At 38.4% G+C, this 14,904-nt stretch overlaps 2 annotated features.

Annotated features, from left to right (window-relative positions):
* Positions 634-1,133: an enhancer, noted in NCBI's record as "OCT4-NANOG-H3K27ac hESC enhancer chr9:13675953-13676452 (GRCh37/hg19 assembly coordinates)". NCBI's record gives its function as "activates a minimal SCP1, AML or CMV promoter by ChIP-STARR-seq in primed H9 embryonic stem cells {active_cell/tissue: H9 hESC(primed)}" and the evidence as "EXISTENCE:reporter gene assay evidence [ECO:0000049][PMID:30033119]".
* Positions 1,134-1,635: an enhancer, noted in NCBI's record as "OCT4-NANOG-H3K27ac hESC enhancer chr9:13675451-13675952 (GRCh37/hg19 assembly coordinates)". NCBI's record gives its function as "activates a minimal SCP1, AML or CMV promoter by ChIP-STARR-seq in primed H9 embryonic stem cells {active_cell/tissue: H9 hESC(primed)}" and the evidence as "EXISTENCE:reporter gene assay evidence [ECO:0000049][PMID:30033119]".

Here is a 14,904-nt window from a genome sequence, read left to right as displayed (position 1 = left end):
CCAGATCCAGTATTGGAGAGGGGGGAAATTACTGTGAAGGTTATTATTAGGTCAACTGAAAAACTGAAATACAGATGACAGATTATATCTAAAGTAAATATATCTTAGATTTATTAGAGATATCAATACTACTTTAACTGAGCTTGATAACTATTATGATTATTCTTAATGAAATTCCTACTAAGGTACTTAGAAGTAAAGGGCAGTGGTGTATGTAACTTATCTACCAGTGATTCAGGAAAAATATTATACATCTATCTATCTATCCATCTATCCCTCATTATCTACCTATCTATCTCTCGAGCAATCAATAAGGTAATGGAGTAAGATATTAATCATGGGTGAATATAGGTTAAAGAGTATACGGGTGTTCTTTGCATTATTCTTATTCTTGCAAGTATTCTTATGATAGGTAAATCAATTCTGAAACAATTTTGGATATAAAAAAATGAACAAATGTAACTTCGAAAACATTTCCATATTTTTTAAAGTTAAAAAAAGTTATCACCAGTTGCTTTATCATATTTGTTAGTATTTATGCTACATATAAAGATATTATAAACACTTAGGATTTCAGAAGGGAGGGTAACACTAGCATAAATGGGACTTTATAAACCTTGCAGGAGATACTATAGAGAAAATTGTCAAAATGATATTCTCCAGACTCAATATTTTAAAAAGAGAGACTCATTTCTCACAAAGTATCACAACTAGGTAGGGAGCTTCCTGAGAAACAAAAGAAAAAGATGTCTAGTCTCAACTCTTGGACACAATTTGACTGCGGACTGGGAGGGGTGTTTCTACATATGACATTTTGTAGTACCATTAAACTGTTCTCTAGTGTACCCATTGGGAAATTTGTCTCAGATTCCTAGGCAAAAGGACTCCATAAAATGGGATAATGACAATCAAGGCTACTCTTTCTCAAGTCCAAGTAGAATTAAAATTTATAACTTCTGTGGGGACCACGGCTTTCCGCATTTCACTCAAAGCATGACTGGCAGCTCAATTAGAGCAACAAGATCAGTGTGGGCAGCCCTGTGTCTTGCCAGGTCAGTGCTGGCGGCCGTGAGAGAGGCGATGACCCATGCAGATGCTGCAGCAGCAATACAGAGGCTATGCAGGAAATGGGGAGTGGGAGAATTGCTGCAGCAGCAGAACTGCCACCCACTGGGAGATATCAACTACCCAGGGCTCGACCTGGCAAAGGGAACATTCCTGTGATTCTGCGGGGTAAAATTCAGAGCCAATGACTTGTCAGTACCATGGCTGTTTGTTCTCACATCCTTTAAAGGCTATCATGACCTTCCCCTAACCCTGAACCCAAGTAACAGTTGCCTTGGTAGGGAAGGTTCCAGCTGTGTTGAACAAGTAACCAGAAGACCAACTTCTTGCACAACCTCATTCCAAGTTAAGTAGGGGCTTGAGTAGGACAGTTTTGGATTTGGAATCCCTTGTTCTCAGTATACCCCACCTAGAAGCATTACTGAGCTGTGTTCAGAAAAATGCCAAGAAAAGCCTTTTCCAACGGCAGCCTTACTGGAGTTGGGAGAAAAGTCTGTTCTTTTTCTTTCAACACCCTCCCGTACTCTACAGATGCTGACACAAATAGAATGCACCTGTGCTCATGAAACGTGTCCTGACACTTGTCCCCAAAATATTCACAGAATGTAGCACAGCAATGGTACACCTTGCTGGGTGCTGTCTCAGAAAAGAACAAAGCTTCAAGGCCTTCCACTTTTGCCTATGGAGCTGCTTCCCCCTCCAAGCACATAACCTGTGCATATGCTGCGCTGAAAAGAAATATTCTCTAACAAACTTCATAAGCATTAATAGATCTCTGAGCCTTTAAGTTTGACTGACTCTAATTATACATTCCTCATGTCATGCTTGTCCTGAACTACATAGAAAGATGTTGAGATGTGCAATGGATAGATGACTCATTTTAAATATTGGAGATAGAATCAGGAACCATAATTCTGGAACATAACAATGCCCTTTTGTTCTGAATTTTACCCCGCAGAATCACAGGAATGTTCCCTTTGCCAGGTCGAGCCCTGGGTAGTTGATATCTTCCCAGTGGGTGGCAGTTCTGCTGCTGCAGCAATTCTCCCACTCCCCATTTCCTGCATAGCCTCTGTATTGCTGCTGCAGCGCCTGCATGGGTCATCGCCTCTCTCACAGCCGCCAGCACTGACCTGGCAAGACACAGGGCTGCCCACACTCATCTTGTTGCTCTACTTGAGCTGCCAGTCATGCTTTGAGTGAAATGCCCTTCCACGTGGAAGGGCACCTGGAGACTATTGTGGCAGTTCATGGAGATGCACTTAGACATCTTAGGGCGAGTCTTAGAGGTACTATTGTGTAGAGCACCATAATCCAGAAGCAGAGAGAGGTTATGATTTCCTTGTAGGATATTGTACTTGGGTTCACATTGAGTGTGAAGTGGTGGGAATAAGGTGTTATGACTGACAATTCAAATACAGTTGTGGCTTCCAGCAGGGTGTATGAGTATGGTGAGGCTTCTGAGGCCCAGAAACTGGCATAAAGGGAATTTTTGAACAAGGAGGGAAGGAATAAATTAGAAGAAAGTGGTTGTTGGATTCTCTAAAACATCCAAGGTAGCTTCAAACTTACGAAGTTTTTTTCTCAACTATGTCTTGGAAATTGTCATTCATCCACATACTCAGCAGAAAACTGTTGAATATCCACTATGTTCCAGGCACTGTACTGGGTATGTACAAAGATGAAAGCACAGTGTCTGCCTGAAATTGTTCTCAATGAAAAAACCCATCAACAGACCATTGAAGAGCAATGTGCTGAGGGCAATGATAGGGATGTGCACATGGAAGCACCAAGGAAGGCCATGTAGCTTAGTCAAAAGTTCTGGGAACGCATCTTAGAGGAGGAAGGCCATCAGCTAGATGTTAAAGTATTTAATAGACTTCACCAAAACTTACCTATAGCAAGGCACAGCATCAGCACAGGCTAGGGGTGCAAAACAGCATAATAAAGAGGAGGACTGCAAAAACAGTCCATGGTGCTCGGGGCTGACAGCAGGATGGCAGACAGTTGGCCTGAATTAGGAACAGAGGCCACAGCATGGCAGTCCTCAGAGATCACAGTGAGCCTCCTAGGGGCATGCTGTAGAGGGTGTGGGTTCAGCAGTGGGTGTTAAGCCAAACAGAAACTCAGCTATCTGTCCTCTCTGGCTGGAGTGTGAAGAATGAATTTTAAGAGGACAGGTCTGCTGTCATTAGGGAAGGCTGATATAGGAATCTCATAGAAGGTGGCAAGTGTCCACTCCTATATAAGTAGGAGTAAGGATAGAGAGGAAGGCAGATACAACCAGCAGGACTCAGTAATTAATCTGTTTAGGGGAAGAATACGCATTGGTGAGGACAAAGTAAAGTAGATCCAATCCCAATTCTGCCTTTATTATATACGTTAGGAAATATTACTCTATTGCTCTATAAAATGGGTAATAGCAAAGTCTAGATATCTTATCTGCCTTTCAGATCTTAAAATAGGCTCACCTCTTTCCTGCCTCAGGGCCTTTGCACATGCTATTTTTTCTGCCTGGAATAAGAAATTATCTGTTTTTCATCTTCTGCTGATCTTTTCTCATCCTTCCGGCCTAGGTCAAAAGGTCACCTACTCAGAGTAGCTTTCTGTGACTAACCTAGGTAGGTGGGTACCCTCCCCTTATTATTATTCTTTTTCCCTCCACCCTACTCATATACTCCAAAACATAGAACATCATTTCTAATTATACTGTTATTTATTTATTTGTAGACAACAACCATTTCTAATGTATCCCCAAGGCTAGCAAGCAGTAGTCATTCAACTAACAATTGTTTGACTAGAGCTGCAGCCTAAGCAGTATGTTGAACCCTATGGCCCGGAATATGTGGGGAGTAGCATCTGGGTGGTGACCCAAGGCAGCCCATGCCAGATATGAGCCGGGGACCTTCACTGGTCTAAGGTAAGGAGGCACATGTCACGGGCTGAATTGTGTACCCCCTCCCAAAAGATAAGTTAAAATCATAACCCCCAGTACCTCAGAATGTGACCTTATGTGGAAATAGGGTTTTTACAAAGGTAACTAAATTAAATGAGGTGATGAAGATGGGATTTAATCCAATACGACTGTATCCTTAAGAGAAGTGGAAAGCTGGACACAGAGGCGTACATGGAGAGAAGAGGATGTGAAGAGACATGGGGAGAAGAGAGCTATGCACAAGCCACAGCATGCCCGAGGCTACCATAAAGTAGGAGAGAGCCCTGGAGCAGATCCTGCCTTCAGAAGGAACATGGCCCTGCCCGCCGTGATTTTGAACTTCCAGCCTCCAAATCTGTGAGACAATAACTGTCACTTGTTCTAAACCACCCATTTTTGTGGCACTTTGTTACAGCAACTCTAGGAAACTAACACAGAGTACTTCAGACAGTAGTCAATGTCCTGGGATTATAAAGGTAAATCTAAATAAGCCTGTGAGATTTAGGCCTAGAGGTTAATTTTACTCCAAGTTTTACCCACAAGCCGGCGTGGCTTAAGATCTAAACTGTGCTCGTACCTCAATCCTGTGAGAGTCTATATTCTGAACAATGGGTGCTGTTAACGTAGGTTGTAGGAAAATATCATCAACTGCGTCAATAATCCTTGAAAATCTGGACAGAAATAATGAGTGTGTCATTGTTCTGACCAAGAGCAATGAAACTATATGAAGAAAAATGGAATAATTATGCTAAGAATAGTGACTGCCTTTATACTAAATATAGGTAAAAGAATATCTACTGAGAACTATTTATGTGTGTTCTCTGCAAATGACTTCACAATTTAAACACCTAAGTCACATTTTCTGCTGTAAAAATAGAGAACTAATCAATGATTCTCCTCATTCTGTTTTTAAACTTAGCTCCATTTCTTTTCTCATGTTAACAATTAGTCTTTTAACTGGTACACTCACGACATGTTAAAATATACTCAGAGTCCAATCATGCACTAAAAGACATTAGCTAACCACCTCCACTCTCTACTGTTCTTTCACACTTTCTTCCTAGTGGCTACATAGCTAGTTCTAAATATACTTTAGACATTTCGTAAAATGCAGAAAATTACTTGTAAAATTTAAATTAGTGTCAGTGCAGTTTCAAATCTGCTAATAAAAATTTTTAAAACACAGTATCAGGAAACCCAATTTATAATACTTCCTGTCAGCATCGAAATTCTAGATTCTAGATATTAGCATTAAAAAAACACAAAAGAAATAGAATAAATCCAATAAATAAAATTGAATTATTTTGACCCACATTTATGGTTATATTTTAATATCGATATAACTTAGCATATAAGTTATATTTTGGGGTGAAAAAATTTTAAATATCCTTGTAAGATATACACTGCAGTTCCTGAAGTCAATGAAAGCTCACATACCTGATAATTGACCCTTCTCAGAATTTAACCTGAAGTGAATCTTTCGGACACAGATTGCTTTAGTGTATGCTGTGTACATTTCGGGAAATTGAGTTTAGTCAACATGGTTGGCAGACTACCCAACATTCACCTCCACTTCCTGTTTCTAACTCTCACAGTTTTGTTCAGATATTCATTCCTTTTTCAGTTTCAGAAGAAATTCTGATTGGAGCAATTTAATTGAGATATATTTTCCTGTTATCCAGGAGTGGATTCATTTAAAATGGCCCAATCAGACTGAAGAGAAAGGCATACTTACACAAGTTTCTGGGACACAAGTTTCTCTTTCTCTTCTCTCTCTAGCTTTAGCTTGCGATTCTGCAGATCACAAATTATCATGTATTTATTTCTCCATCTGCTTCTTGCAGATGTCTTACGATCGTTAAGAGAACCAACATGAAGACACAGATAAAAGGGTGATGGCAGGCTGGGTGTCATGGCTCACACCTGTAATCCCAGCACTTTGGGAAACTGAGGTGGGCAGAACACTTGAGGTCAGGAGTTCAAGAACAGCCTGGCCAACATGGTGAAACCCCATCTCTACTACAAATATAAAAATTAGCCAGGCGCTATGGGGCTCACCTGTAATCCCAGCAATTTGAGAGGCTGAGGCATGAGAATCACTTGAACCTGGGAGGTGAAGGTTCCAGTGAGCCAAGATCATGCCACTGCACTCCAGCCTGGGCAACAGAGCGAGACTCTATCTCAAAAAACAAAAAAATGATGATGGACAAAACATAGTTGAACACAAAGATAGAAAGACACATGTCCTTGCTGACTTCATTGAATTGCTAAATAAACCTGAAAAATTACTCTACTTCTTATTTCTTTTTATGTGACATAATAAATTGCTTGATTTCTTTAAAAAGATAGTTTTGCCAAGGAAATCCTCCTAAGTGATATTGCCAACTTTGCTACTGAGTCACAACAGATCAGGCCATGTATTGATCAGAGCATGAGCCAAAGTCAAGTTATCTATGGACAGAGTATAAAAGACAACTCAGGCTTCCACACTGGCTTAGTATGTAGTGTTCCCTATCGGGTCAAAGAAACCTGATTTAATCACACTGTAGCTTTTGGGAAGTATAAATATAGCTATCATTTATTGAGTGATACGTTTCTGTAATGCATTTATATGAATTAATCCCATTAAATTTGCCTAAAAACTTCCATAAAATATGTAAAACTCTATTTTACATATGAGGAAACTGAGGCATAAAGAAACTAAAAAGCTTAAACTGGGCGATACTATTTCAAGGTAATAAAACACAAGGCTCTAAATTCCAAAAACATTTGTGCCTAGGGTCACTAAGAAAAAAATCTTTGCTACTGGATTATATCATGCTTTTCTCAATATGGTTCTTTTCCAGATAGCATGGGCACTATCATATGATAGACATGAACTTTCTTACATGTTCTTTTTTTTATTGTGGTAAAAGACACAAACATGAAATTTAACCTCTTAACAACATTTTAAATGTACAATACAGTATTGTTAGCTATAGGCACCATGTTGTACAGTAGGTCTCCAGAACTTTTTCATCTTGCATAACAGAAATTTAATACCTATTGAACAGCAACTTTCTATTTCTTCCTCTGCCTCTGCCCCTTCGTGCTTCGATAAGCTGGACTACTTTAGATATCTCATATAAGCGGAATCATGTAGCATGTGTCCTTCAGAGATGGGCTTATTTCACTCAGCATAATGTCCTCCAGGTTCATTCCTGTTACTTCATATGCTGGGTTCCCTTCTTAAGACCAAATAATGTTCCTTTGTATGTACATACCACATTTTCTTTATCCATTTATCCTTTGATGGACATTTAGGTCCATACATATTTTCTCTCATTTTTTCACTCTGTTGATTGTGTTCTTTGTTGTGCAGAAGTGCACAGTGTTAGTTTTATGTTTTCTCACTTGTCTGTTTTTACTTTTGCTGCCTGTGCATTTGGGTTCATATCCAAGAAATAATTGCCAAGACCAATATCATGAAGCTTTTCCCCCCATATGTTGTCTTCTAGGAGTTTTATATTTCCAGACCTCAGGCTTAAATCTTGAATCCATTTTGAATTGATTTTTGTAGATGGTGAAAGACTAGGTTCCAATTTTATTCATTTGCATGTGGATATACAGTTTCCCCAAGACCACTGGTTGAAGAGACTATTCTTTACCCATTGTGTGTTCTTGATCCCCTTTCAAATATTAGTTGACCATATATGCACAGATTTATGGGCCCTCTATTCTTTTCTGTTGGTTTATATGTCTGACTTTATGTTAGTACCATACTGGTTTGATTACTGTAGCTTTGTAATATGTTTTGAAATGAAGACGTATGAGACTCCCAGCTTTCATCTTTTTCTTGAAGATCATTTTGGCTGTTCAGGTCCTTTGTGCTTCCATTTGAATTTTAGATTTTTTTATTTCTTTAAAAAATGTCATTGGAATTTTGATAAAGATTGTATGGAATCTGTACATTACATGGAGTAATAGGATCATTTTAATAATATTAAATCTTCCTATTCATCAACACAGAATTTATTTTCATTTATTGGTGTATTATTTTATTTCTTTCAGCCATGTTTTATGGTTTTCAGTGTACAAGTTTATGCCTCTTTGGTTAAGTTTATTCCTAAGTATTTTATTCTCTTTAGAATATTATAAATGAAATTTTTTTCTCAATTTCTTTTTTGTATTGTTTATTGTTAATGTATAGAAATGTAACTGATTTTCATACATTAATTTTGTATCCTGAAAGTTTACTGAATTTGTTTATTAGTTCAAACAGATTTATGAAATTCTTAAGGTTTTCTCCATGTAGGATAATGTATTCTAAAAACATAATTTTACTTATTCCATTCCAATTTGGATGCCTTCTGTTTATTTTTTCTTGCCTAATTGTTCTGGCCAGGAATTTCAATAATATGTTGAATAGAAGTGGTGTGGGTGGGTTTTTTGACTTGGTCCTGATCTTAAATGAAAAAATTTCATTTTTTCACCACTGAGTATGACGTTAGCTGTGGGCTTTTCATATTTGGCCTTTATTATGTTAAGGTATTTTATTCTATTCCTAGTTTGTTGAGTGTTCATGTGATTTTCATTATTCATTCTGTTCTATTGATATGATGTATCACGTTGATTGATTTTTGTATGTTGAACTATCCTTGCATCCCAGGGGTAAAACCCAGTTGGACGAAGTGTATGATCCTTTCAATGTGGCATTGAATTTGATTTGCTGCTTGAAAATTTTTACATTTGCATTCATCAGGAATATTGATCTGTAATATTCTATTACTGTAATGTCCTTATAATACTGGTCTCACAAAATGAATTGTTTGTCGCTTTTAAGATTTTCAGTTAGAAACTCTAAGGAGGCTGGGGCATTTCAGCACAGTGTCCCCATTTTCTCCCTGAAGGTTTGGGGAGCGTGGGGGACTTGAGCATCCCTCTGAGGGAGGTAATGGCAACAATGATGACAACCATACTATGAGCTCACATTTATTTACGGAGCTCTTATTGTGTTCCCGGCACTGTGCAAAGCTCTTAACACATATTGTCTCATCAAATCCTCACAGCAGCCCTGTGGGAAAATGCCATTATCCCCATTTTACAGAAGGAGAAACTGTGTCACAGGTAGAGGCAGCAGCTTTCCTAAAGTGGCAAAGCTGGTGAGGGGGCAGCCCAGTTTTGAACTAAGCCACCATATTCCAGAGCAGCTTCCTTTAACTACTAGAGAGAGAGAGAGTTATTTCCAAGGGAGGGATTCCACATCCAGCCATCAGTTTGTAGAAGTATTAATCTCCTCTTTCTCTCTCTCTCTGTGTGTGTGCTTTCAGAATATATAGCCGTGTTTTTTAATGTAGTCAGCCACTCTGTCTTATTTCAAATTAATATTATTTTTAGAAATAGGATAGAAGGCCCAGAAATAAACCCAAGTATTTACAGTCAATCAATTATCAAGAAAGATCTCAAAAACATGCAATAGAAAGAGAACCAACTCTTCAATAAATGGTGTTGCAAAAATTGGATATCCACAGGGAGGAGAATAAAATTGAACCCTTATCTCACACCATATAAAAAATCAAATCAATCTGGATGAAACACTTAAATGTAAGGCCTAAAATGGCAAAGCTACTAAAAGAAAATGGGGAAAGCTCCATGATACTGGTCTGGGCAGCAATTTTTTGATTAGGACTCTAAAAGCACAGGCAACAACAACAAAACCCAGACAAATGGTACTGCGTCAAACTAAAAAGCTTTGCACAGCCAAGGAAGCAATTAACATTGAAGAGAAAGTCCATGGATTGAGAGAAATTATTTGCGAAATACATCTAATAAGGGTTTAATGTCTAAAATCTATAGGGAACTCAAACAGCTGAATAGCAAGAAAACAAATAACTTAATTAAAAATTAGGTAAAGGACATGAATAGACATTTTTCAAAAGAATGCATATGATGTTGAACATGTACATGAAAAAATGCTTAACATATTTAAACATCAGAGAAATGTAAATTATAACCATAATGGCATATCAGTTTACAACTATTAGAATGGTTATTAAAAAAAAACTAATGTTAACATGTATTGACAAAGATGTGGAGAAATTGGCAAAGATGTGGAGCATAGCCATTATGAAAAATAGTGTAAAGGTTTCTCAAAAACTAAACATAGAATTACCATATGATCCAACAATCCCACTTCTGGGTATATATCTAAAGGAACTGAAATCAGTATGTAGAAGAGATAGCTGCACTCCCATGTTCATTTCAGCATTATTCACAATTGCCAAGAAAACGGACCTATGTGTCCACTAACAAATGAATGGATAAAGAAAATGTGGTATAGACACAAAACCTAATACTAGTCAGCCATAAAAAAGAAGAAAATCTTGTAATTCAAGACAACATGGATGGAACTAGAGGTCATCACACTCAGTGAAATAAGCCAGGCACAAAAAGACAAATACCACATGTTCTCACTAATATGTGGAATCGAAAAAAGTAAGTCTCATAGCAACAGAGAGTAGAAAAGCAGTCACCAGAGGTTAGGGGAGATAGAAGGGGATGGAATAAGGGAAGGTACTGTTTTTTTGAGACAGGGTCTTGCTCTGTTGCCCAGGCTGGAGTGCAGTGGCACGATCTTGACTCACTGCAACCTCTACCTCCCAGGTTCAAGCGATTCCCCTGCCTCAGCCTCCTGAGTAGCTGGGATTACAGGCACGCACCACCACGCCCAGATAATTTTTGTATTTTTAGTAGAGAGAGGGTTTCACCATGTTGTTCAGGCTGGTCTCGGCCTCCTAACCTCGTGATCCTCCTGCCTCAGTCTCCCATGAGATTTAAACTTGATAATAGAGTCCTATCAATGACTAATACGGTGTTTTTTCTCATAGTAGGTGCTCGGTAAATATTTTAAATTTACTGTCATTTTCTGAATATAAAGTTAACGGAAGTCAACTGCAGCAGGCAGATTGAGTGTAACGATTGCCCCAGTTAGTCCTCTCCCTGTACCTACGTCACTTATAACATGACTTTGCTAGCTGGGCATGGTGGCATGCGCTTGTATTCCCAGCTACTCAGGAGGCTGAGGCAGAAGAATTGCTTGAACTCAGGAGGCGGAGGTTACAGTGAGCTGAGATTGCACCACTCCACTGCAGCCTGGATGACAGAGTGAGACTCTGTCTCAAAACCGAAACCAAAACCAAAACATGACTTTGCACCCCTCCTTTAAGAACTGGAGTTTCTTTCTCTATCCATGGCAACTGAGCTGGCCTTATGATTTGCTTTGACCAATAGAATGTGGCTGAAGTAATGATGTGTCAGCTCTGAGTCTAAATTTCAAGAAGCATATTCTGCTTCCATACTCTGCTGGAATTCTGTCACCACCATTTTGCTAAGTTAGGACTAGCCTGCTGGAAGATTAAGAGACCATGTAAGGAAATTCAGTAGTTCCAGAAACTGTTTTTGACCAGCTGATAGCCAGCTGACTTACAGCTGCCTACACCAATCTACGACTGACCACAGAGATGTGGGTAAGCTCAACAAGAACAGAATAACTCCTCAGTTGACACTTAGTCTCATGAACAGTAATAAAGGCTTGTTTTTTTTTAAGCCACTGATTTTGGGGTTGGCTTGTAGTACAACAATAAGGAATTGGTATATCAACTAGATTAGGAGTTTGTTCAGGAAGTAATGAGGTATGTTTTAAATGATGATCACAAAAGGATTAAGTTCAACATTTCAGAGAGAAAGTAAAGCAAAATAAAATTGCTAGATTACTCAATTTTAGAAAAAAAGGAACCAAAAAAGCATTTGGGAAAAAATTAAAAGAGTGTATGTGTGTCTGTGTCTGCAGTATACCTACAGAAAGCCTAGAGACCTCTACCAATACCTATCAGAAGTTAGAAGGCCAAGAAAGGTGTACACCATACAGCTAAAAGTTAGACATTCAAACAAAATTCTGCCTGCATTACTAGCAAAATCCAAAAAGTTATTCTAGAGAAAAGCATCATTTAAAAAAGCAAAATGTTTCAGTTTTCTGCATATGGCTAGCCAGTTTTCATTAAATAGGGAATCCTTTCCCCATTGCTTGTTTTTGTCTGGTTTGTCAAAGATCAGGTGGCTGAAGATGTGTGGTGTTATTTCTGAGGCCTGTGTTCTGTTCCATTGGTCTATATCTCTGTTTTGATACCAGTACCATGCTGCTTTGGTTACTGTAGCCTTGTAGTATAGTTTGAAGTCAGGTAGCATGATGCCTCCCACCTCCTGCTTTGTTCTTTTTGCTTAGGATTGTCTTGGCTATATGGGCTCTTTTTTGGTTCCATATGAACTTTAAAGTAGTTTTTTCTAATTCTGTGAAGAAAGTCAATGGTAGCTTGATGGGAATAGCATTGAATCTATAAATCACTTTGGTCAGTATGGCCACTTTCACGATATTGATTCTTCCTATCCATGAGCATAAAATGTTTTTCCATTTGTTTGTGTCCTCTCTTATTGCCTTGAGCAGTGGTTTGTAGTTCTCCTTGAAGAGGTCCTTCACATCCCTTTCTAACTTGTATTCCTAGGTATTTTATTCTCTTTGTAGCAACTGTGAATGGGAGCTCACTCACGATTTGGCTCTCTGTTTGTCTGTTATTGGTGTAGAGGAATGCTTGTGATTTTTACACACTGATTTTATATTCTGAGATTTGACTGACGTTGCTTATCAGCTTAAGGAGATTTTGGGCTGAGACGATGGGGTTTTCTAAATATACAATCATGTCATCTGCAAACAGAGACAATTTGACTTCCTCTCTTTCTATGTGAATACGATTTCTTTCTCTTGCCTGACTGCTCTGACCAGAACTTCCAATACTGTGTTGAATAGGAGTGGTGAGAGAGGGTATTCTTGTCTTGTGCCAGTTTTCAAAGGGAATGCTTCCAGCTTTTGCCCATTCAGTATGATAATGGCTGTGGGTTTGTCATAAATAGCTCTTATTATTTTGATATACTTTCCATCAATACCTAGTTTATCAAGGGTTTTTAGCATGAAGGGGTGTTGAATTTTATCGATGGCCTTTTCTGCATCTATTGAGATAATCATGAGGTTTTTGTCATTGGTTGTGTTTATGTGATGGATTACATTTATTGATCAGTGTATGTTGAACCAGCCTTGCATCTCAGGGATGCAGCTGACTTGATCGTGGTGGATAAGCTTTTTGATGTGCTGCTGGATTCAGTTTGCCAGTATTTTATAGAGGATTTTTGCATCAATGTTCATCAGCGATATTGGCCTGAAATTTTCTTTCTTTTTTTTTTTTTTTTCGTCTCTGCTGGGTTTTGGTATCTGGATGATGCTGGCCTCATAAAATGAGTTAAAGAGGAGTCCCTCTTTTTCTATTGATTGAAATAGTTTCAGAAGGAATGGTACCAGCTCCTCTTTGTACCTCTGGTAGAATTTGGCTGTGAATCGGTCTGGTCCTGGACTTTCTTTTGGTTGGTAGGCTATTAATTACTGCCTCAATTTCAGAACTTGTTATTGGTCTATTCAGGGATTCAACTTCTTCCTGGTTTAGTCTTGGGAGGGTGTATGTGTCCAGAAATTTATCCATTTCTTCTAGATTTTCTAGTTTATTTGCATAGAGGTGTTTATAGTATACTCTGATGGTAGTTTGTATTTCTGTGGGATCAGTGGTGAACTCCCCTTTATCATTTTTTATTGTGTCTATTTGATTCTTCTCTCTTTTATTCGTTAGTCCAGCTAGTGGTCTATCTATTTTGTTAATCTTTTCAAAAAACCAACTCCTGGATTCATTGATCTTTTAAAGGGTTTTTCATGTCTCTATCTCCTTAGTTCTGCTCTGATCTTAGTTATATCTTGTCTTCCACTAGCTTTTGAATTTGTTTGCTCTCACCTCTCTAGTTCTTTTAATTGTGATATTAGGGTGTTGACTGAACCCCTTCCTTACACCTTATACAAAAATTAATTCAAGATGTATTAAAGACTTAAACATAAGACTGAAAACCATAAGAACCCTAGAAGAAAACCTAGGCAATACCATTCAGGACATAGGCATAGGCATAGACTTCATGACTAAAACACCACAAGCAATGGCAACAAAAGCCAAAATTGACAAATGGGATCTAATTAAACTAAAGAGCTTCTGCAGAGCAAAAGAAACTATCATCTGTGTGAACAGGCAACCTAGAAAATGAGGGAAAATTTTTGCAATCTATTCATCTGACAAAGGGCTAATATCCAGAGTCTACAAGGAACTTAAACACATTTACAAGAAAAAAACACAACCCCATCAAAAAGTGGGTGAAGGATAGACACTTCTCAAAAGAAGACACTTATGTGGCCAATAAACATATGAAAAAAAGCTCATCATCACTGGTCATTAGAGAAATGTAAATCAAAACCACAATGAGATTCCATCTCACGCCAGTTAGAATGGCGATCATTAAAAAGTCAGGAAACAACGGATGCTGGAGAGAATGTGGAGAAGTAGGAACACTTTTACACTGTTGGTGGGAGTGTAGATTGGTTCAACCATTGTGGAAGACAGTGTGGTGATTCCTCAAGGATCTAGAATTAGAATTACCATTTGACCCAGCAATCCCATTACTGGGTATATAGCCAAAGGATTATAAATCACTCTACTATTAAGACACATGCACATGTATGTTTATTGTAGCACTATTCACAATATCAAAGACTTGGAAGCAACCCAAATGCCCATCAGTGACAGACTGGATAAAGAAAATGTGGCACAAATACACCATGGAATACTATGCAGCCATAAAAATAGATGAGTTCATGTCCTTTGCAGGGACATGGATGATGCTGGAAACCATCATTCTCAGCAAGCTAACACAGCAACAGAAAATCAAACACCATATGTTCTCACTCATAAGTGGGAGTTGAACAATGAGAACACATGGACACAGGG

Source organism: Homo sapiens, chromosome 9, assembly GCF_000001405.40.
Source record: "Homo sapiens chromosome 9, GRCh38.p14 Primary Assembly".
In the NCBI taxonomy this organism is placed as follows: domain Eukaryota; kingdom Metazoa; phylum Chordata; class Mammalia; order Primates; family Hominidae; genus Homo; species Homo sapiens.
The sequence above is the reverse complement of the archived record's forward strand: the minus strand, read 5'-3'. Positions and strand labels throughout refer to the sequence as shown.